The 24,443-nt window shown below is 39.5% G+C and overlaps 1 pseudogene, besides 1 other annotated feature; it reads left to right on the top strand.

Moving 5' to 3' along the window:
* Window positions 1,460-2,141: an enhancer, noted in NCBI's record as "OCT4-NANOG hESC enhancer chr13:48046529-48047210 (GRCh37/hg19 assembly coordinates)". NCBI's record gives its function as "activates a minimal SCP1, AML or CMV promoter by ChIP-STARR-seq in naive H9 embryonic stem cells {active_cell/tissue: H9 hESC(naive)}" and the evidence as "EXISTENCE:reporter gene assay evidence [ECO:0000049][PMID:30033119]".
* RN7SL700P (RNA, 7SL, cytoplasmic 700, pseudogene) lies at window positions 15,301-15,594 on the top strand (annotated as a pseudogene).

Below are 24,443 nucleotides of genomic sequence, written 5' to 3'. Positions count from 1 at the left end.
AGCCTTCTCCCATTATCAACATCCTGTCCCAGTGGAGTATATTTGTTATGATTGAAGAACTTACACTGACATGTTATTATCATTCAAAGTCCATGGTTTGCCTTAAGGTTCACTCTTAGTATTGTATATTCTACAGGTTTTGACAAATCAATAATGATGTGTATCCAACAATTACTCTTTTTGAATTGACAATACAGAGAATTAAGTTGAAACAGATATCCAAGTTTGGAATTCTGGGTTCTGTAAGAGAAAAATTTCAGTTAAGCAGGGAAGGAAAAAATTATTTAAGATTATTGTGGCCCAGTGTGGTGGCTCATGCCAGAGGTCAGGAGTTCAAGACCAGCCTGGCCAACATGGTGAAACCCCTCTCTGCTAAAAATACAAAAATTAGCTGGGTGTGGTGGCACATGCCTGTAATCCCAGCTACTTGGGAGGCTGAGGTAGGAGAATCGCTTGAACCTGGAAGGCAGAGTTTGCAGTGAGCTGAGATTGCATCACTGTACTCTAGCCTGGATGACAGAGCGAAACTCCACCTCAAAAAAAACAAAAAAAAAAACCCCAGAAAGATTATTAGAATGGGGTGAAGACTATTCCAATGAAGGAAAGAGACTGAACCCAACTCTCCCTGAAACAAAAGGCAAGAGTGGTTTTAAGTATAGTCATGTGCTGTATAATGACATTTCGGTCAATGACAGACTGCATATACGACAGTGGTCCCATAAGATTTTGTCATTTTTTTTTTTATTATACTTTGAGTTTTAGGGTACATGTGCACAACGTGCAGGTTTGTCACATATGTATACATGTGCCATGTTGGTGTGCTGCATCCATTAACTCATCATTTAGCATTAGGTATATCTCCTAATGCTATCCCTCCCCCTTCCCCCCACCCCACAACAGTCCCCAGTGTGTGATGTTCCCCTTCCCGTGTCCATGTGTTCTCATTGTTCAATTCCCACCTATGAGTGAGAACATGCGGTGTTTGCTTTTTTGTCCTTGTGATAGTTTGCTGAGAATGATGGTTTCCAGCTTCATCCATGTGCCTACAAAGGACATGAACTCACCCTTTTTTATGGCTGCATAGTATTCCATGGTGTATATGTGCCACGTTTTCTTAATCCAGTCTATCATTGTTGGACATTTGGGTTGGTTCCAAGTCTTTGCTATTGTGAATAGTGCCGCAATAAACATACGTGTGCATGTGTCTTTATAGCAGCATGATTTATAATCCTTTGGGTATATACCCAGTAATGGGATGGCTGGGTCAAATAGTATTTCTAGTTCCAGATCCCTGAGGAATCGCCACACTGACTTCCACAATGGTTGAACTAGTTTACAGTCCCACCAACAGTGTAAAAGTGTTCCTATTTCTCCACATCCTTTTTACTGAACATTTTCTATATTTAGATTTGTTTAGATGTGCAAATACCATTGTGTCATAATTGCCTACAGTATTCAGTAAAGTGACATACTGTATGGGTTTGTAGCCTAGCTGTGTAGTAGGCTATGCTGTCTAGGTTTGTGTAAGTGCATGTTATGATGTTTGAAGATGCCTAATGACACACTTCCCATTATTAAGGGGAGCATAAGTGTACCAAGATGAACTAGTGAAAAAATCTTGGAGAATGTTGGGGGAAGGTTGGTCAGTGAGATTTGGCCTTCTGTGTTTGCCACTTGGTGTTTGTCAAAGTTAGGTTCCTACCTAACTTTGGGAATAGGGGCATTATTTTCCTTAATGGTTACTTATCAAAGAGATGGCTTCCTTACCCTTGAAAGACATTCCTGGGATGTAAAACTGGTAAGATGCCTAGAGATGATTTACATCTCAAAGGGGCAGATAAAAAACTTGTTACAAGTCCCTGCGTGCCTCCCCACCCCCGCCCCCACAAGTAAATGCTCTAAGAAAAGGGAGGTCAATGATGTACAGTCTGGAAGAAACCTGTCTAAAGTTTAATTAAGTAGAGGGGAACATTAAGACCTTCTTGGTTATTTTCCTTGGAAGAGATTTAAGGTAATTACCAGTGGACTGGCTTGCTTTCTTCTCAATTCCTTAATAATCAAGCTTCACTGACAATAACTGAAGCTAACTCTAGAGTTTCTTAAGTCAGGGCAGTTTCCAAAGACTCCACATTGGCATAGGGACAAAGGGATGTGCACTGAGCTGAGAAGGCAACAAGGAGAGAGAATGGAGCTAGACCTGTAGAACGAAAGACGTCACTGAGGAACAGGAGTTATAAACTTAACAACAGCCCTGTACCCCCAATTCTTTTTCTTCTTCCACAAAACTCTGAGCTCTTTCTTTTCCTGCTGAGGCTACCCTGTTTTTACAAATGTGTCGATGTTGGGGTAAAGCAATGGCATAGAGAGTGAAGACTCAGGAAAGGCCCTGTGCATAAGTCCCTTATAATTCAGACTCGTAGTGGTGACCCTTGTGGACAGTGGGAGCCTCCCAAATCTAGAAGTAGCATTTGATTCAGTGTACTTAGTAACTAATTGCATACAAAGATGAAACTTCAGGGTGTAGTAGTTTGGATTCCTAGGGGAGATGTTCCTGAACTGCAACTCAGAGCATCACAGTCCTAAAAAGAAATTGAGGCTGATGTACTGTGGATACCACTGTTGGACAGTAGAAGACCACGGCGTCACCAGCTGGGTAAACCAGACGCACCAGCATTTTCACACATGAGCAGGTTGAACTCCCATTTGCTTACTACTTTCAAAGAAGATGTTTCTGATGACATCCTGAGCTATGTCAAGTGTGGAGTAGGAGGAGGACAAGGGTTGGGAATTATATTTCCAAGATAACAGGAACCAGAAAGATCTCCACTTACCTAGAATGGGGTTTCTGAGTAGAACAGCTGCCAGACAGGATAGGAATACACATTTTAGATCACGATATGTTACAGAAGACAGAGAAGGTTCTAATTTTGGAAAGAGAGTGTGAGGATGGACTGTCTATTTTTCTATTGTTACAGGCTCAAGACTCTCTCCCCTCAAGATCCTGATGCCAACATACTCTCTTTGATTCTGTGGCTCATTTTGGGAAGAGATGGGGTCAGGGTCAGTACAGCTGTTTGGCTGTGGTAGGGAAGACAGGCTAAACCATCTCTCCATCTTTGAAATAAACCCCTGCCTCCTTTCCCCTCTGAAGAAGGTATATGTGCCCCACTCCTCTGCCTGTTCTAGCTCCCCATTCCAGATGCAGTCCTGTATCCAGATGACTTTTCTGGAGAGAAGAGACTTAGATTTTTAGGAATGCTGGCAGTCTATGGTCATAAATGGGGGCTTTGAAAAGGAGAACAGTAAGGGACCTTTTTTTTCTTTTTTTTTCTTAAACTCTCCTCTGGGAAGAAAGTATTGGAAAATGTTTGCAAGTTGAAAAAGGACAGAGGGGAAACAAAAGGTTGAGTTTCATCACTGAATATCAGCAAGTGTTTCCTCTGCTTGATTCCAACACTCAGTTCCTCCATCATTTTCCAAGTTGACTTCCTGGCACCGTCCCTCAGGTCAGAGTTCCAGTGCTTTTGCTCTCATTCATGTCCATTCCCTAATGTCCATTCCCTTGCTGATTTTTCCTCTGGTCTTACTGGATGAGCCACTCTTAGTGCAATATGCACACTCAGAGAAATTAACAAGCATGGAGATTTTATGGGCTCTGACTGGCACAGCCTGGGGTAGCACGTTATTTCCATTTGGAGCTTCGAATGATTTGGGCACATTATGCCAGATGTGCCTTAGCTTCACGGAATCCAGCCTAAACCTTCCAAGAAATTGTTTTGAAAGGCCTCTAGGGAGACAGTCCACGATATTGTGTGGTAGACTGTTCCAGCCTTTATTCACTTTGACTTAGATGTAAAAGTTCTCCTAGTGCAAGCATGGTCTCTTTCTACTGTCACTAGTCTCTCACCCTCCCTTCCTGGGCTCAGAGGACAAAGGCAGGATTCAAACCATTTATAGTGTCAGCAGGGAGGCCAAGGTTTTGGACTTGCAGGACCTCTGATTCCAGCTTCTACTACCTGATTTTTACTCTTATTGATTTCAACATCTTCTTTAGAGAAAGTGCCAAAGACTAGATAGTAGACAGCATAGGATTTAATTAAGATAATATTTTTCTCTTGAATTTGCCATTATTATCTTTTTCTTTTCCTCCATTTCCATGGCTACTGTCCTAGTTAAGGTTTTTGGCAGTTCTGCCTGGCCTTTAGCACTAGTTCTCTAACTTGTCTCCCTACTTTGGGATTCATCTCTCTTCTACGTATCTTACACCCTGTCTTTAGATCATAAAATGCAGATTAGGCAATTCTGTTTCCTTGAATAAAAACTGCTATAACCTAGAAGGTGAAAATAAAACTCATTATTGTGCCACTCACTTTAAAAATTTTCCCAACCTTTCTTTCCAGGCTTATCACCCAGCAATCTCCCAACTCTTCAACATACAAGCCACACCTTTGATGGTTTCCAGAAAGCATTGTGCCTTTTCATACATGGAGTATTGATGCATGCCGTTCCCTCTGCATAGAATATTTTTTTCTACACTTTTCTTTCTGGTCAACTGTTCTAATCTTTCACTACTCAGACTAAATCTCACCTCTTCTGTGAGAGTGTTGAAAATCCCTTAGACAAAGGAGTTAATCCATTTCCCCTCTCTGCATCTCAGCACTATGGCATTCTAATGCCATGGCCCACACTACTCTGTTTGTCCTGCCATGCAGTGAGCTCCTCAGTGACAGTGGTGATCTCATATTCATCTCTGTATCACAAATTCTTTCCCTAGCCCTACAGTTAAAGGTGCCCAGCAAGAGTAGACACCTGGTAAATGCTTGGAAAATGACTAAGACCAGATGAACAATTTCTTCTGACTGTTTGCTTGGGGAATTTTCTTTTCTTTTCCTTCAACTTTAAGTTCTGGAGTACATGTACAGAATGTGCAGATTTGTTACATAGGTATATGTGTGCCTTGGTGGTTTGCTGCACCTATTGACCTCTAAGTTCCCTCCCCTCACCCTCCACCCCCTAACAGGCCCTGGTGTGTGTTGTTCCCCTCCCTGTGTCCATGTGTTCTCATTGTTCTACTCCCACTTATGAGTGAGAACATGTGGTGTTTGGTTTTCTGTTCCTGTGTTAGTTTGCTTAGAATGATGGCTTCCAGCTTCATCCACATCCCTAAAAAGGACATGATATCATTCCTTTACATGGCTGCATAGTATTCCATGCTGTCTGTGTACTGCATTTTCTTTATGCAGTCTATCCTTGATGGGCATTTGGGTTGGTTCCAAATCTTTGCTATTGTGAACAGTCCTGCAATAAATATATGTGTGCATGTGTCTTTATAGCAGAATGATTTATAATCCTTTGGGTATATGCCCAGTAATGGGATTGCTGGATCAAATGGTATTTCTGGTTCTAGAGCCCAGAGCAATCACCATACTGTCTTCCACAATGGTTGAACTAATTTACATTCCCACCAACAGTGTAAAAGTGTTCATATTTCTCCACAGCCTCACCAAAATATGTTGTTACTTGACTTTTTAATAATCACCATTCTGACTGCCGTGAGATGGTATCTCATTGTGGCTTTGATTTGCATTTCTTTAATGATCAGTGGTGGTGAGCTCTTTTTCATATGTTTGCTAGCCACATAAATGTCTTCTTTTGAGAAGTGTCTGTTTGTATCCTTTGCCCACTTTTTGATGGGGTTGGTTTTTTCTTGTAAATTTAACTACCTTGTAAATTCTGGATTTTAGACCTTTGTCAGATGGATAGATTGCAAAAATTTTCCCCCATTCTCTAGGTTGCCTGTTCATTCTGATGATAGTTTCTTTTGCTGTGCAGAAGCTCTTTAATTAGATCCCATTTGTCAGTTTTGGCTTTTGTTGAAATTGCTTTTGGTGTTTTAGTCATAAGGTATTTTCCCATGCCTATGTCCTGAATGGTATTGCCTAGATTTTCTTCTAGGGTTTTTATGGTTTTGGGTCTTACATTTAAGTCTTTAATCCATCATGAGTTAATTTTTGTATAAGGTGTAAGGAAGGGGTCCAGTTTCAGTTTTCTGCATATGGCTAGCCAGTTTTCCCAGCACCATTTATTGAATAGGAGATCCTTTCTCCATTGCTTGTTTTTGTCAGGTTTGTAGAAGACCAGATGGTTGTAGATATGTGGTGTTATTTCTGAAGTCTCTGTTCTGTTCCATTGGTCTGTATGTCTATTTTCATACCAGTACCATGCTGTTTTGATTACTGTAGCCTTGCAGTATAGTTTGAAGTCAGGTAGTGTGATATCTCCAGCTTTGTTCTTTTTGCTTAGGATTGCCTTGGCTATATGGGGTCTTCGTTGATTCCATATGAAATTTAAAGTAGTTTTTTCTAATTCCGTGAAGAATGTCAGTGGTAGTTTGATGGAAATAGCATTAAATCTATAAATTACTTTGGGCAGTATGGTCATTTTCACGATATTGATTCTTCCTAAGCATGAGGATGGAATGTTTTTCCATTTGTTTGTGTCCTCTCTTATTTCCTTGAGCAGTGCTTTGTAGTTCTCCTTGAAGAGTTTCTTCACATCCCTTGTTGGCTGTATTCCTAGGTATTTTATTCCTTTTGTAGTGATTGTGGATAGGAGTTCATTCATGATTTGACTCTTTGCTTGTCTATTGTTGGTGTGAAGTAATGCTTGTGATTTTTGAACATTGATTTTGTATCCCAAGACTTTGCTGAAGTTGCTTAACAGCTTAATGAGTTTTGGGGCTGAGACAATGGGATTTTCTAAATAGAGAATCATGTTGTCTGCAAACAGAGACAATTTGACTTCCTCTCTGCCTATTTGAATACCCTTTATTTATTTATCTTTCCTGATTGCCCTGGTCAGAACTTCCAATACTATGTTGAATAGGAGTGATGAGAGAGGCGTCCTTGTCTGTACCACTTTTCAAAGCGAATGCTTCCATCTTTTGACCATTCAATATGATATTGGGTGTGGGTTGGTCATAAATAGCTCTTATTATTTTGAGGTATGTTCCATCAATACCGAGTTTACTGAGAGATTTTAACATGAAGGGATGTTGAATTTTATCACAGGCCTTTTCTGCATATATTGTGATAATCATGTGGTTTTGTCTTTGGTTCTGTTTATGTGATGGATTACATTTATTGATTTGCATATGTTGAACCAACCTTGCATCTCAGGGATGAAGCTGACTTGATCATGGTGGACCAGTTTTTTGATGTGCTGCTGGATTTGGTTTGCCAGTATTGAGGATTTTTGCATCAATGTTCATCAGGGATATTGGCCTGAAGTTTTCTTTTTTGTTGTGTCTCCTCCCGGTTTTGATATCAGGATGATGCTGGCTTCATAAAATGAGTTAGGGAGGAGTCTCTCCATTTCAATTGTTTGGAATAATTTCAAAAGGCATGATGCCAGCTACTCTTTGTATTTTTGGTAGAATTCAGCTGTGATTCCGTCTGGTCTTGGGCTTTTTTGGACTGGTAGGCTATTAATTACTGCCTCAATTTCAGAACTTGTTATTGGTCTATTCAGGGATTTGACTTCTTCCTGGTATAGTCTTGGGAGGGTGTATGTGTCCAACAATTTATCCATTTCTTCTAGATTTCTAGTTTATTAGTGTAGAAGTGTTTATAGTATTCTCTGATGGTAGCTTTTATTTCTCTGGGGTCAGTGGTGATATCCCCTTTATCATTTTTATTGTGTCTATTTGATTCTTCTTTCTTTTTCTTCTTTATTATTCTAGCTAGCAGTTTATCTATTTTGTTTTTTAGTTTTATTTATTTATTTATTTTTTCAAAAAACCAGCTCCTGGATTCATTGATTTTTTTTTTTTGGAGAGTTTTTCATGTCTCTCTTTCAGTTCTTCTCTGATCTTAATTATTTCTTGTTTTCTGCTAGCTTTTGGATTAGTTTGCTCTTGCTTCTCTAGCTCTTTTAATTCTGATGTTAGGGTGTTGATTTGAAATCTTTCTAGCTTTTTGATGTGGGCATTTAGTGCTATAAATTTCTGTCTTCACACTGTTTTAGCTGTGTCCCAGAGATTCTGGTATGTTGTGTCTTTGTTCTCATTGGTTTCAAAGAAATTCTTGATTTCTTCCTTAATTTCATTATTTACCCAGGGGTCATTCAGAAGTAGGTCATTCAATTTCTATGTAATTGTGTGGTTTTGAGTGAGTTTCTTAATCCTGAGTTCTAATTTGATTGCAGTGTGGTCTGAGAGACTGTTATGACTTCAGTTCTTTTGCATTTGCTGAGGAGTGTTTTACTTCCAATTATATGGTCGATTTTAGAATAAGTGGCATGTGGCACTGAGAAGAATGTATATTCTCTTGATTTTGGATGGAAAGTTCTGTAGATGTCTATTGGGTCCACTTGATCCAGAGCTGAGTTCAAGTCCTGAATATCCTTGTTAATTTTCTGTCTCTTTGTAGATTTCTAAGAACTTGTTTTATGAATCTGGGTGCTTCTGTATTAAGTGCATATATATTTAGGATAGTTAGCTCTATTGTTGAATTTATCCCTTTACCATTATGTAATGCCCTTCATTGTCTTTTTTGATCTTTGTTGTTTTAAAGTCTGTTTTGTCAGAGACTAAGATTGAAACCCTTGCATTTATTTTGCTTTCCTGTTTGCTTGGAAAATTTTCCTCCATTCCTTTATTTTGAGCCTATGTGTGTCTTTGCATGTAAGTTGAGTCTCTTGAATGCAGCACACTGATGGGTCTTCACTTTATCCAATTTGCCAGACTGTGTCTTTTAATTGGGGCATTTAGCCAATTTACATTTAAGGTTAGTATTGTTATGTGTGAATTTGAACCTGTCATCATGATGCTATCTGGTTATTTTACACACTAGTTGATGCAGTTTCTTCATAGTGTCATTGGTCTTTCTATTTTGGTATGTTTTTGCAGTGGCTGGTACTGGTTTTTCCTTTCCATATTTAGTTCTTCCTTCAGGAGCTCCTGCAAGGCAGGCCTTGTGGTGATGAAATCACTCAGCATTTGCTTGTCCGGAAAGGATTTTATTTCTCCTTCACTTATGAAGCTTAGTTTTGCTGGATATGAAATTCTGGGTTAAAAATTCTTTTCTGTATGAATGTCAAATATTGGCCCCCAATCTCTTCTGGCTTGAAGGGTTTCTGCTGAAAGGTCCACTGTAAGTCCAATGGGTTTCCCTTTTTATTAGGTGACCTGGCCTTTATCTCTGGCTGCCTTTAACAATTTTTCCTTCATTTTCACCTTGTAGAATCTGATGATTACATGTCTTGGGGTTGATCTTCTCTTGGAGTATGCTAGTGGTGTTATCTGTATTTCCTGAATTTGCATGTTGGCCTGTCTTGCTAGATCGGGGAAATTCTCCTGGATAATATCCTGAGTGTGTTTTCCGTCTTGTTTCCATTCTCCTCATCTCCTTCAGGTACTCCAGTCAATCATAGGTTCAGTCTTTCTATGTAGTCCCATATTTCTTGGAGGCTTTGTTCATTCCTTTTAATTCCTTTTTCTCTAATCTTGTCTGCATGCCTTATTTCAGCAAGGTGGTCTTCAGACTGTGATATCCTTTCTTCCTCTTGGTCGTTTTGGCTATTGATACTTGTGTATGCTTCAGGAAGTTCTCATGCTTTGTTTTTTAACTCCTTCAGGTCATTTTTGTTCCTCTCTAAACTGATTATTCTAATTAGCAGCTCCTGTAACCTTTTATCAAGGTTCTTAGCTTCTTTGCATTGGGTTAGAACATGCTGCCTTAGCTCAGCAGAGTTTATTACCCATCTTCTGAAGCCTACTTCTGTTACTTTGTCCATCTCATCCTCTGTCCAGTTCTGTGCCCTTGCTGGAGAGGCGTTTCAATCATTTGGAGGAGAAGAGGCCTCTGGCCTTTTGAATTTTCAGTGTTTTTTTTTGTTGATTCTTTCTCATCTTCGTAAGTTTGTCAAGTTTTGATCTTTGAGGCTCCTGACCCTTGGATGGGGTTTTTGTGTACACTTTTTTTGTTGTTGATGTTGTTGTTGCTTTCTGTTTGTTTTTCTTTCAGTGGTCAGGTCCCTCTTCTCTCAGGCCGCTGCGGTTTGCTGGGGGTTCACATCCGGCCCTGTTCATCTAGTTCACTTCTGTACCTAGAGATGTCACTCAAGGAGGCTAGAGAACAGCAAAGATGGGTGCCTGCTCCTTCTTCTGTGATCTCTGACCTCGAGGGTCACCAACCTGATGCCAGTAGGATCGCTCCTGTATAGGGTGTCTGACAATCCCTGTTGGAGGGTCTCACCCAGTTGGGTGGCACAGGGAACAGGACCCATTTAACAAAGCACTTTGTCCCTTGGTGGAGGGGGTGTGCTTCACTTGGGGAAAACAGAATCATTTGGGCTGCCTGGATTCCTCAGAACTACCATCAGGAAAGGCTAAATCTGCTGGTCTGCAGAGACTGTGGCCACTCCTCCCCCTAGGGGCTCAGGCCCAGAGAGATCACGGTTCTGTCCCTGAGACTCTGGCTGGAGTTGTTCAGTTTCCTGCAGGGAGGCCCCAACCAGTGAGGTTGGATGAGTCAGAGTCAGGCCTGAAGAGGCGCTCTGGCTGCAGTCTGCCACAGCCAGTGTGTTGGGCTGTGGGGGACACCACTTGGGACCAAGCCATCCAGCCTCCTTGGCTCCATCAGGGGAAAAGCATGGCTTGGAGCTATAGAGATGGATGCCGCCCTTCCCCCACCCAGGAAGCTTAGCGTATTAGGCCGTTATGAGTCCCAGTGCTGGCTGCTTCTCCGCCCACAAGGAGCTCAAACAGCTCAGACAGGAGGCAGCTGCAGCTGTGGTGCTGGTTGCCCCTCTCCCTGAAGACTTGGTAGGCTTGAGTAGATTCTAGCTGAGAGGCAGTTGAGAATCTGCACGGCTCCAGAGTTGGGACCCTAGGCCCCAGTGGCATGGGTTCGTAAGTGGGTCTTCAGCTCCATGGGGCGCACAGTTCCATGGAAAAAGCACGGTTTCCCCAGGGGGTGGCACACTCACTCACTGCCTCCTTTGGCGGGGGTGCTGGGGTTCCCCTGCTCCCTGTGGCTCTCAGGTGGGCTGCTGCACCACACTGCTCTTCCTTCCTCTCTGTGGATCATGCCAGCTGCCTAGTCAGTTCTGATGAGAGAACCTGGATACCTAGGTTGTTGGTGCAGGATTCACATGCTATTATGGTTCTTTTTGACAGGAGCCTCGATTGTGGCTGCTTCTAGTCAGCTGTCTTGCTCCCCACCCTCTTATGGAATTTTCATTGTCAAACTGTTCAGAATAAGAGTTCTGCCTGACCCAGGTGACCATCGCTACAGAAGAGGGCTCCCTTCCACATGAACCTTGGTCTTTGCTTTGGCATGGCCATCCATCCTTCTTATGCCTTTTCTGCCCAGGAGCATGCTGGTCCAGCCAACTGAGAAATGGATTAACAGCTCCTGGGTGGTGAGAGAAAAAGCTGCTGGCCACCTGCCACTTGCCATGTGACCTTACTTAAGTCACTCACCCCCTGTGATTAGACTTCTTCATCTGGAATAGGGAGCAGGTGACATAAACCGTGTGGCTAGTGCACCATTTTGCAAATCATCTCTTATATAATGATAATGGTGGTCAACAGGAGCAATAGGTATAGTCATCTTTTTGAAATAAAGCATCAGAAGAATGCAATTGGCAAAATAAGAAAGGAAGAAACAGAGAATAGAAAAGTGTTGGAGGCCGAAAGAATGAGAGTCGTGACCAACTCAGTGTACCACTGGAGGCTATATGAGTAAACAGCAAACTGTTCTCATGAAAGCAGGTTGTTAGCAAACTGACAAACTGCGTCTGCCACCCAGAGGGAATGCTGAGGGCAGTCGCGCCCCAGGCGCAGTGTTTCTTGTGATTAGGCACATCTGAAGCCTGTTAGCAATAATGTGAGCCTGTGATCAATCAAGCAGCTGACCAGTTGTTAGCTCCTCCTCCCTGCTCTTTCTGCCCAATAAATACAAAGGGCTGTGGAAGCTCAAGGCCCTTGCTCCCTAGAAGGAAGGAGCCCCCTGACCCTTTCTTTAAAACAGTTTCTTTTGTCTTAAGTTTTCATTTCTGCATTCATCCTCCTTCATTCAGTCTCATAGTAACTGTTGCAGAAAAGTATGAGTGGATGTCCCTCAATTGAAGAAAAGAAAGAAAGTGACAGAAAAGGCACAGATTAGAAATCGGTGAATAAAAAGTCACAAATTACTGGATTACAGTCACAAAACCTAAAGGGAAGTGTGTTCTGTCAAACACATGGGTGAACAACCAAAATCATAGAGGTCATGAAGCCCCACATGGATTTATTTAATTTATAAATTTAAGATGACCATTCCTTCTTCTCCCTCATAAACTAATATTATGTTGGGGCTAATAAGGTGAAGCTGTGGGGTGATTTACTATAACTATAAAAATTTCACTTTCTTAAAACACCTCTTTTTTTTCCATTTCCTGATACCTGCAACTCATTTGCCTGAAAACAAGATAATAGAGCTACTGACATTCATATTCATGAAAATGACTCACACCAGGTCTGTTTCTGGGAGCTGTTTTGATAAGGAAGGAGGCAGAGGAGAGAGCAAGAGGGCATCAAGCTACAAGGAAAATGACCTAAGGGATGTGGCAGAGGTGGGGGACGAAGTGATCTGGAGTCACCTTCATATCTATTGGGAACAACATTTCTGAATTTCTGTTGAGACTGCTGAGAAACATGAGAATGGTAAAAAAAAAAAAAAAAAAAAAAAAAAAAAAGACATGTAAATCTAGAAAAAACAGCTTCTAGACAATGTGGAAACTGTTGGCAGTTTTTAAAAATGCTAGGATTATTATTTCTATTATGAAGAGAAAATTGAGTATAATGAATAAATTCCTGGTTTCCATAGCAAGTTCAACTTCTTCATGCTGGGTATAAATAATAAATATATTGTTGTTACTGAAAATGTTTTCAGTTATGCCACATACATTAAAGACTGATAATTACATTAATGCAATATTGAAGTTATTAATACGAACTTTCAAAGAGATTATTTTTCATGAAGGCCAGGAGTTTTAGCTGAGAGTAACTGAGAGTAATTTTTTTTTGTTTTGCTTTTTTCCCCAACACAGAGTCTTACTCTGTCACCCAGGCTGGAGTACAGTGGCGCGATCTCGGCTCACTGCAACCTCCGTCTCCCGGGTTCAGGCAATTCTCCTGCCTCAGCCTCCCGAGTAGCTGAGATTACAGGTGCCCACCACCACACCTGGCTAATTTTTGTATTTTTAGTAGACACAGGGTTTCACCATGTTGGCCAGGCTGGTCTCGAACTCCTGAACTCATGATTTGCCTGCTTCAGCCTCCCAAAGTGCTGGGATTACAGGCATGAGCCACCGTGCTCAGCCAACTGAGAGTAATTTTTTTAACTGCAATGTAGAACAAGAATCTTCCTATGTGCAAAATAGTTTCATTTTTAAGAAACTGTTAGATTTATGTGGATTGTTAGCTTTTAGGCTGTAATGATCATTACCAAAAACAAATATACCTATCAACTTTTTATATTGATAAACAGTTTGTGTGTTTGGTTTTTGTTTTGGGTGGTACATACAAGAATAATTAAGAGTATAAATAGCACTCTGGATGGATTTCCATTATTCATGGTATTCCTATCTGCTCTTAGAATGAGTGGATAATGACCAGGGATTTCCCAGGGTGGTGGAATTCCCAATTATGATTTTTTTAGATATGAAATATAGGAAGCTTGATGCAGTCAGCAAATATCATCTCATAAAGCCACACTTTTCTTATCCACATTGAAAACACAATCCTTTTACCCTCTGTCCACCACTAAACACCTCCAAGGTTGGCCCCAGCAAGGAACTGTACTCACTCAAACCATCTCTGGGCAAAGGAAATTCGTGGAAACATATCACTACTACAGGAATTATCTGGGTCATAAACTAAAAAAGAAAAACAAATGCAAGGAAACTACATTTTAATTCCCCATTAAGCCATATGAAATGTGTATTAGGCTAATGTACCTAATATAGGCTGGCAATTCAACCAGAGGAGCTGCTCAGAGGATATTGAAATAAGTCATTTTGCTAATTCTAAAGAGTTTCTATAGATATGTACTGGATTTCTTTTTAATTATTCTGCATCTGTTTAGAGATATGCACTTTCCAGCTATGTAATTGGATTTTAAGTACTTTTACATTACTATAAATAAAGTGTTACATGCAATTACATTGAAAAATCTGCAGTGCAAAAGCAAAGCTGCAGCCCACAGGTTACCGCACTTCAGCATATGGAGGATGCGCTTCTTATGGGGTGATGATAGTCAAATTAAAAAGAACACTTTACTCCTTGAGCTAGATAATAGGCTGATTATATTTAAAGCATATTCACTTCCCACAATCATCTGGTAGGAAAGATGGAACTGCTCAAACTTCATCTCCACTGGACAGTATCGTGACTGGAAGGAATTATTAGTGGAAGAGAAGTATAAACTCACCCAAGATCTAGATCCAGAATGCTAATCAGACTTTTGAAGAGAGAGATTTATTTTTGTCCCGCTTTCAGACCTGACTTGTTTTTTCCCCACCCCAGTATAAAAGCTGCGACTTTCAATCTGTGGGGAAAATTTTGGGAAAAGGATTATGAGATATGTGTCCTTAGTATTATAAGTCTGAACCCCTTTTGGCATTAGCCCACACCACAGGAGGCCACATTAAAGCCCTCTTTCTCCAGTTTCAGTTGGTAATAATTTCAGGTTCTTTCTCACAGCTACCAATGCAAGAGGCAGCTAATCCTAAAGGCTTTTGTTATGAAAAGTGCTCGATTGAAAAAACACATGGCAGACAGGGGGCATTGGAGATCACTTTTACGCAATGACATTTAAAATGAGGGAAGTTTAAGTAAGTTGCTTGAGATGCAGCATACTGTCAGCAAGCTCATCAGTGCCCTCCATCAACTCAATTCCTCCTTTCTTTCCATCTTCTTTCCTCTGTATATGCCAAAGGGCTCTACATTTTAGCACTGGGTTGTTTATTTTTAATACACTTTGTGCTATTGTTAAAACTAATTCCTGTTTCATGGCTCATCCAGCACTATCACCTGCCCTCCTCCCCATATCCTTTCTTGCTTTAAGACTTAACTCCAGCTCCCTCCAGAAAGTTTATTTAACATGCTATCTACTTAAATACATGGAGCCAGAGTAGATACAATGTATATTCTGTCCAGCGACCTTACTTTGGGTGTTTTCCTATTTTTTTTAACTGCAAAGTAGAACAAGAATCCTCCTCTTTGCAAAATATTCCCATTAAAGAAATTGTTAGGCCGGGCACAGTGGTGTGTGGCTATAGTCCCAGCTATAATATTTGGGAGGCTGACGTAGGAGGATTGTTTGAGACCAGGAATTCTGGGCTGTAGTGCTCTATGCTGATTGAGTGTCCACACTGAGTTTGGTATCAATATGATGAGCGAAGGACCACCAGATTGCCTAAGGAGGGGTGAACTGGTCCAGGTTGAACATGGAACAGGTCAAAATTCCTGTGCTGATTAGTAGTGGGATCGCACTTGTGAATATCCACTGCACTACAGCCTGGACAACATAGCCAGACTCTGTCTCTAAAATATAAATAAAAATTGTCAGATTTATGTGGGTTGTTAGCTTTTAGGATGTAACAATTATTCCATTACCAAAGAGAAGGATACCTATCAGCTTTTTGTATTGTTTTAGATACCCGTTTTAGTTTTCCTATCAGGGTCCATAGTTTTTACTTCTTTTGTAACTCTTTTTGGCTCTGTCTCCTGGACCCTGCTCTGAGAATTTTGACAAACTGTAAGACAAAGTCTTTGCAGTTACTGAAATTTGTATTTCATCGGGGGAGAGAAAGCTTAGGCATATTGACTAGTAGTAAAGGTCCAGTCAGCCTGGTGCTGGTTCTAAATAAATCAATGATAGATGTTCAGAGAAGGAATGGATCATGGTAGATCATGCTCCTTCAGGTAGACCAATCAGCCCGTGTTGATAGGAGTCAATATAGCAGAACATTTTGAAGCCCATCTTGCTACAAAAAATAAGATATTAACTTATATTCCCCTAACTTACTACTTTGGGATTAAAATATGAGAAAAACATATTATGAAGATAGCATATCATTTAAATATTGTACAATTTGATTCTTTACTCATAAAAATAGTAACCAGATATTGCTGAGTGATTTTATAAGTTGAATTTCTTATCCATCATCTTGAATTTCTCCAAAGAATTTGTTTGTTTGTTTGTTTGTTTTGAGACAGAGTCTTGCTCTGTTGCCAGGCTGGAGTGCAGTGGCACGATCTCGGCTCACTGCAACCTCCGCCTCCCAGGTTCAAGTGATTCCCCTTCCTCAGCCTCCCGAGTAGCTGAGACTACAGGTGCGCACCACCACGCCTGGCTAATTTTTTGTATTTTAGTAGAGACGGGGTTCCACCATGTTGGCCAGGATGGTCTTCATCTCCTGACCTCATGATCCACCCTCCTCAGCCTCCCAAAGTGCTGGGATTACAGGCTTGAGCCACCATGCCCAGGCAAGAATTTGGGTTTTATGAGTAACAAGTTTTGGAACAATTTGCAATGGGTATAGATCCAAGTAATACTTTGTGTAATCTTAAATATCCTTTTCATAAGCATTTATGATTGTCATTTTCTGTCTTTCCCAGAAAGCATGAGTCATTATTAATTCTTCACACAGAAGACATAGAATTGGACATGTTGTAAACTGGGAATTCTTTTGGGCTGCTTCCTTCTTAAGAAATAACTGCTAGATGAGTGAAGCAATAAGAAAATATCCACTGTCATCCCCAGAAAGTGTATCTTGTGAGCCAGTGAATGTGGCACTTAGAAAATCAAATGTCTATATTTAGACATGTATATGCAGTTATATGTCTGCATTATAACTTATTATATTTGCCCTCAAATTAAGCAATACTACTTAGCCATAAAAAGAAACAAAATAATGGCATTCACAGAAACCTGGGTGGAATTGGTGACCATTTATTCTAAGTTAGATAACTGAGGAATGAAAAACCAAACATTGTATGTTCTCACTCACATGTGAGAGCTAAGCTATGAGCATGCAAAGGCATAAGAATGATACGCTGAACTTTGGGGACTTGGGGGAAAGTTTGGGGCATGGCGAGGAATAAAAGACTACACATTGGGTCCAGTATACAGTGTTCGGGTGATGTGTGCACCAAAATCTCAAAAATCACCACCAAATAACTTATCCATGTAAACACCACCTGCTCCCCAAAAACCTATTGAAATAAAAAAATAAAAAACTTACTAAGAAAAAGGAAACTGTTACTGAATTTTATTTGTATGTCAGAAACTTTTAAAATTGATATCTCATTTAACATTAACCCAAGACAATTTAAAGCCTATTTCTTAAGTTTGAAAAAATGATGACTATATGTGCAAAATATTCTAAGTCCTGCAGAATGCCAGACTGATAAAATCTAAATTATTATTATGCTTTATTTTAAAAAAATCTTCAAACTTCAAACTAAACCTTTTCATCCCTAAAAATATCTACAGTAGCAAATCTGGGGCCCTGCAAACATTTCTCTCAGCAAAACTGATTCCACTGTCTCTTCACAAACTTCCTTTACAGAAATCAGGAGCAAGAACAATAATCAAGTCTTGTGTATAATTGTATAATTTTCATTATGTCCAATTTTATATTTTGGATACACGTGTTTTTTTAAGTCAGTTATATTTCTTATGAATATTTTATCCCAGTCTGTGGTTTGTCTTATTCTCTTAATAATGTCTTTCATAGAGAAGAAGTCTTTGATTAGTAAAGTCAAACTTACCAATTTTTAAAAAAATGGATGGTGCTTCTGATATTTTATCTAAAAAGTAATTGCCAACCCCAGGGTCATTTAAATTTTCTCCTGTGTTTTCTTTTTTCTTTTTTTCTTTTTTTATTTTTATTTTTTGAGACAGAGTCTCGCTCTGTCACCCAGGCTGGACTGCGGACTGCAGTGGCGCAATCTCGGCTCACTGCAAGCTCCGCTTCCCGGGTTCACGCCATTCTCCTGCCTCAGCCTCCCGAGTAGCTGGGACTACAGGCGCCCGCCACCGCACCCGGCTAATTTTTTGTATTTTTAGTAGAGACGGGGTTTCACCTTGTTAGCCAGGATGGTCTTGATCTCCTGACCTCATGATCCACCCGCCTCGGCCTCCCAAAGTGCTGGGATTACAGGTCTCCTGTGTTTTCTTCTAGAGTTTTCTAGTTTTGCATTTTACATTTAGGCATATGACCCATTTTGAGTTAATTATTTTTGCATATGGCATAAAGTCTGAGTCTAGGTTTATTTTTCTGCATGTGGATGCCCAATTGTTCCAGTCCCATCTCTTGAAAAGACAAAGACTATCCTTTCTTCATTGAATTGCCTTTGCACCTCTGCCAAAGATCAGTTGACTGTCTTACTGTATTGTGTGAGTCTATTTCTGGGCTCTATTCTGACCCATTGATCTATATGTGTATTCTTTTGTCATCATGCCTGATTTTGATAGATGAAGAAATAATCTCAGGGAGGTTGAGTGATCATCTCAAAGCCACACACCACTAAGTTGCAGACTAGGAATTTGAACTTAGGGTTTTTGAAATCATATGCAATAACCAGTTCACTAAACTACAGCTACTTCTCTTTCAATGCAGAACCAAAAACACATGACCATTAATTGTAATACCATGACCAATCTGTTTCCCTTGCATTTTTCTCTTTGACCCATATGCCCTACAGCACATTGGTCACATGGGGGCAGAGCTGGCAGAGAGTGGCTACTGAGTAGACAATGCATTATACAAAGTAAGTCCCATTTACTTGTGTAATCTGAACCTTGGTATTGTAAAATTTGAGGCTCATTGCTTTAATGAAATACACACAGGTGCAAATTAAAACCCAGGACTCTTCACAGTCTAAGATGGAAGATTTCTGGTAACACTGTACTTGCTGGATAAGGACATGAGCTGCTAATGATGCAGGTGCAAAGGGCTTGATTATTGCTCCTGCTTTCTGTTAAGGAGGTCTGGGGAGAGAGTGGAATCAGTTTTACTGGTAGAAATGTTTTCAGGGCCCTCAATTTGCTACTGCAGAAATTTTTACATAAGAAAAGGCTTAGTTTGAAGTTTAAAGTGTTGTTTTTAAAAGAAGCAGAACTTAGATTTGTATCAGCCTGGCATTCTATAGGACTTAGAATATTTTGCACACACAGTCGTCATATTTTCAAACTTAAGAAAGGCTTTAAGTTAAAGGTCAGTGTTTCCTAGCTTTCAGGATGGAAGGACTTTCTTGTCATTGCCTCTCAGAGAATTATGCAACCAACAATGAAAGGAAACTTAAGCCTCAAGTTACATTCTTTGGAGCTTGGGCAAGACTTTGGGGAAAATTCTGGATAATGAATGAATTCAAAAACATTAGCCTTGTCATGTAGGACAATTAAGAATCCTGCTGTTCCACACGTTTTATGATGGCTCAGTGGAGCTATGGCAAGACGATAAATGATAATCTGGTTAGGATTCTTTCCATTCTCAGATTCTCTAGTACAGTTTATACTGGAGAGTGTACTCCAGAGAAGTTAGTATCTGAGATATAAACCATGTATCTTAATTATTTCATCACTTTTAAAGCTTAAAGTTTAAAGATAATTTAGGAGATATGGATCATAGAATAGGGTATCACTGAGTTACTAAAATGCTGTTAGTAGAAGAAATTGTGAGACGTTTGAAATATAAAATCTAGATTATCCTGAACAGACCAATAATGAAATTAAATCAGTAATAAAAAATGTCCTAACAAAAGCCCAGGACCAGACAGATTCATAGCCCAATTTTACCAGACATACAAAGAAGAGCCGGTACCAATCTTACTGAAACTATTCCAAAAAATGGAGGAGATATTTCTCCCCAACTCATTCTATGAAACCAGTATCACACTCGATGGAGCTGGAGGCCATTATCCTAAGTGAAATACTCAAAAACAGAGAAATCAAATACCATGTGTTCTCACATAAGTAGGAGCTAGACAATGGGTACGTGTGGGCAGACAGAAGGGAATAACAGATGCTGGGGACTTCAAAAGCAGGGAGGGTGGAAGAGAGTTGAAAAATTACCTCTTGGGTACAGTGTTCACTATTTGGGTGATGGGTACACTAAAAGCCCAGATTTCACCACTATACAATATATCCATGTAACAAAACTGACATGTACTCCATGAATCTAAAAAAATAAAAATAAGAAAATCTAGGTTCTTTCTAGTGAAAGAACTAAGAGATCAAGGTGTTATTAATAATTTCTATACATAGTAATATTGAAATACATATTCCTTAGGATGTTTTATGAATAAAAATAGCTAATATGAAGTCTCTTTTACTGAAATAAAATTACTCCTCAAATACTTTTTACTGATATGTTTTGCAGTGTAATCTTAGCAAATCAAAGTGTTCAGAACTCCAAACTTCCTCTGAGGCATAATAATGCTTTATAACATCTGTATTTCAAATATGGGCTAAAAACCTCACAATGCATATTCTCAGTGCTAGTTTTAGACTTTTACACATATGGAAACTAACAATTTTCTGTTAAAACTAATAGCTGTAAATTAAATCATTTTTAAACCTTACAGGAAAAAATAAAACACATTTCGTTGATGTTTGAAGGAAGCATAGAAGTTCTTAAATCCAACCTCACTACCTTTAGAAATTAGTAATGATTGCTGAGAACGTAGTGCCCACCTGAAGTCCCAGAACACACTGTTGACAGAGGCAAATCTCTGGACCCTGACACAGTTCCTTTTGCACACTTCCATGTTTCCCTTTAGCTTGAAAAGGAGTCCTTTCTGTTACATATTTATTTTAAATCAGTGAAAGCAATACATGCTTATGGAAGATCTCATTAGCTTTTCAAGGACAGGTTCCCTGTTGAACTTGTCCAGGACTCATGTGAAGGCTAATGATGCAAGCTGAGTGTGAGGGTGCCAGGTCTCACAAAGATAGTTGCAAGCTTATCCAAAATTATAAAAATGGGAACCTCAGAAGGTGGATCTGCTGCTCCAGAGTAAAATCAACTTGTTCCTTCTTTTCTAGCAATGAATACACTGCTTCAAATGTAAACTGGAAAGGTTTTCCAGTCTTTCTCTACAGGAACATTGACCTTTAAAGTTCCAGTTAATCAAAGATGTACCTCTAGGTTCAAAGTAGCACTGTAAAGGGATAAAGGACTAGAACACCTTACAGGAACTAAGATGCATTAATATCAGGGGTTTTCAAATTTTAGGGTATATAAACACCACCTAAGGCTTGTTTAGAATGTGGATTCCTGGATATTACCCAGATTCAGCAGATCTGGGATGGGGTCTAGAGATCTGCATTTATGTAAAAAAAAAAAAAAAAAAAAAAAAGTACCCAGTGTTTCTGCAGCAGGTGATTAGAGGGTGGAACTTTGAGAAATTTCTTTTTTAAAAATTTATTTCTTCTAAAAAAAAACGGGTTACATGTGCAGAACGTGCAGGTTTGTTACATAGGTATACATGTGCCATGGTGATTTGCTGCACCCATCAACCCATCCTCTAAGTTCCCTCCTCTCACCCCTAGTGTGTGATGCTCCCCTCTATGTGTCCATGTGTTCACATTGTTCTACTCCCTCTTACGAGTGAGAACATGTGGTATTTGGTTTTCTGTTCCTGTGTTAGACTGCTGAGGATGATGGCTGCCAGCTTCATCCATGTCCCTGTAAAGAACATAGTTGCATTCCTTTACATGGCTGCATAGTATACCATGCTGTCTATGTACTACATTTTCTTTATCCAGTCTATCATTGATGGGTATTTGGGTTGGTTCCATGTCTTTGCTATTGTAAACAGTGCTGCAGTAAACATACGTGTACATATGTCTTTATAGTAGAATGATTTATATTCCTTTGGGTCTATACCCAGTAATGGGATTGCTGAGTCAAGTGGTATTTCTGGTTCTAGATCCTTGAGGAGTCGCCATACTGTCTCCCACAATGGTTGAACTAATTTATGTTCCCGCCAGCAGTGTAAAAGTGTTTGTATTTCTCCACAGCCTTGCCAGCATCTGTTGTTCCTGACTTTTTAATAATCATCATTCTAACTGGCATGAGATGGTATCTCATTGTGGTTTTGATTTGCATTTCACCGATGATCAGTGATGTTGAGCTTTTTTTATGTGTTTGTTGGCTGCATAAATGTCATCTTTTGAAAAGTGTCTGTTCATATTCTTTGCCTAGTTTTTGATGTGGTTGTTTTTTTCCTGTAAATTTGTTTAAATTTCTGGATATTAGAATTTTTTTCTGGATATTAAATTCTGGATATTAGGCCTTTGTTAAATGGGTAGATGCAAAATTTTTCTCCCATTCTCTAGGTTGCCCATTCACTCTGATGATAGTTTCTTTTGCTGTGCAGAAACTCTTTAGTTTAATTAAATCCCATTTGTCAATTTTGGCTGTTGTTGCCATTGCTTTTGGTGTTTTAGTCATGAAGTCTTTGCCCATGCCCATATCCTGAATGCCTAGATTTTCTTCTAGGATTTTTATGGTTTTGGGTTTTACATTTAAGTCTTTAATCCATCTTGAGTTAATTTTTGTATAAGGTGTAAGGAAGGGGTCCAGTTTCAGTTTTCTGCATATGGCTAGCCAGTTTTCCCAGCATCATTTATTGTATAGGAGATCCTTTCCTCATTGCTTGTTTTTGTCAGGTTTGTTGAAAATCAGATGGTTGTAGATGTGTGATGTTATTCCTGAGGTTTCTGTTCTGCCCCATTGGTCTATATGTCTGTTTTGGTCTCACATCAACACCCTAACATCTCCATTAAAAGAGCTAGAGAGGCAAGAACAAACTAAACCCAAATGCTAGTAGAAGACAAGAAACAATGAAAATCAGAGAAAAACTGAAGGAGATAGAGAAATGAAAAACCCTCCAAAAAATCAATCAATCTAGGAGTTGGATTTTGAAAAAATTAACAAAATAGATAAAACACTAGCTAGACTAATGAAGAGAGAAGAATCCACTAGACACAATAAAAATAATAAAGGGGATATCACCACTAACTCCACAGAAATACAAACTGCCATCAGAGAATACTATAAACACCTCTATGCAAATAAACTAGAAAATCTAGAAGAAATGGATAAATTCCTGGACACATACACCTTCCCAAGGCTAAACTAGGAAGAAGCTGAATCCATGAATAGACCAATAACAAGTTCTGAAATTAAGAAAGTAATTAATAGCCTACCAATCAAAACAAAGCCCAGGGCCAGATGGATTCACAGCTGAATTCTACCAAAAATACAAAGTGGAACTTGTACCACTCCATCTGAAATTATTTCAAACAACTGAAACAGAGGGACTCCCTAACTCACTTTATGAAGCCAGCATCATCCTTATACCAAAACCGGGAAGAGACACAATAAAAAAAGGAAACTTCAGGCCAATATCCCAGATGAACATTGATGCAAAAATCCTCAATAAAATACTGGCAAACTGAATCCAGCAGCACATCCAAAAACTTATCCCCTATGATCAAGCTGGCTTCATCTTTGGGATGCAAGGCTGGTTCAACACATGCAAATCAGTAAATGGAATCCATCACATAAACAGAACCAATGACAAAATCCACATGATTATCTCACTAGATTCAGAAAAGGTCTTTGATGAAGTTCAACATCCCTTCATGTTAAAAACTTTCAATAAACTAGATATTGATGGAACATACCTCAAAGTAATAATAGGTATTTATGACAAACCCACAGCCAATATCATACTGAATGGTCAAAAGCTGGAAGCATTCTCTTTGAAAACCAGTACGAGACAAGGATGCTGTCTCTCACCACTCCTATTCAACATAGTATTGGAAGTTCTGGCCAGGGCAATCAGGCAAGAGGAAGAAATAAAGTGTATTCAAATAGGAAGAGAGGAAGTCAAATTGTCTGTTTGCAGACAACATGATTCTATATTTAGAAAACCCCATCATCTCAGCCCCAAAACTCTTTAAACTGTAAGCAACTTCAGCAAAGTCTCAGGGTACACAATCAATGTGCAAAAATCACAAGCATTTCTTTACACCAACAATAGACAAGCCCAGAGCCAAATCATAAATGAACTCCCATTCCCAATCGCTACAAAGATAATAAAATACCTAGGAATACAGCTAACGAGATGTGAAGGACCTCCTCAAGGAGAACTACAAACCACTGATCACGAAATAAGAAAGGACACAAACAAACGGAAAAACATTCCATCTTCATGGTTAGGAAGAATCAATATCGTGAAAATGGCCATACTGCCCAAAGTAATTTATAGATTCAATGCTATTCCCATCAAACTACCACTGACATTCTTCACAGAGTTAGAAAAAACTATTTTAAATTTCATAGGGAATAAAAGAAGACCCTGTATAGCCAAGACA

The sequence above is a fragment of the Homo sapiens genome, chromosome 13, assembly GCF_000001405.40.
Source record: "Homo sapiens chromosome 13, GRCh38.p14 Primary Assembly".
NCBI classification, from domain to species: Eukaryota; Metazoa; Chordata; class Mammalia; order Primates; family Hominidae; genus Homo; species Homo sapiens.
Note: the sequence above shows the minus strand (reverse complement) of the source record. Positions and strands in the feature narration are given on the sequence as shown.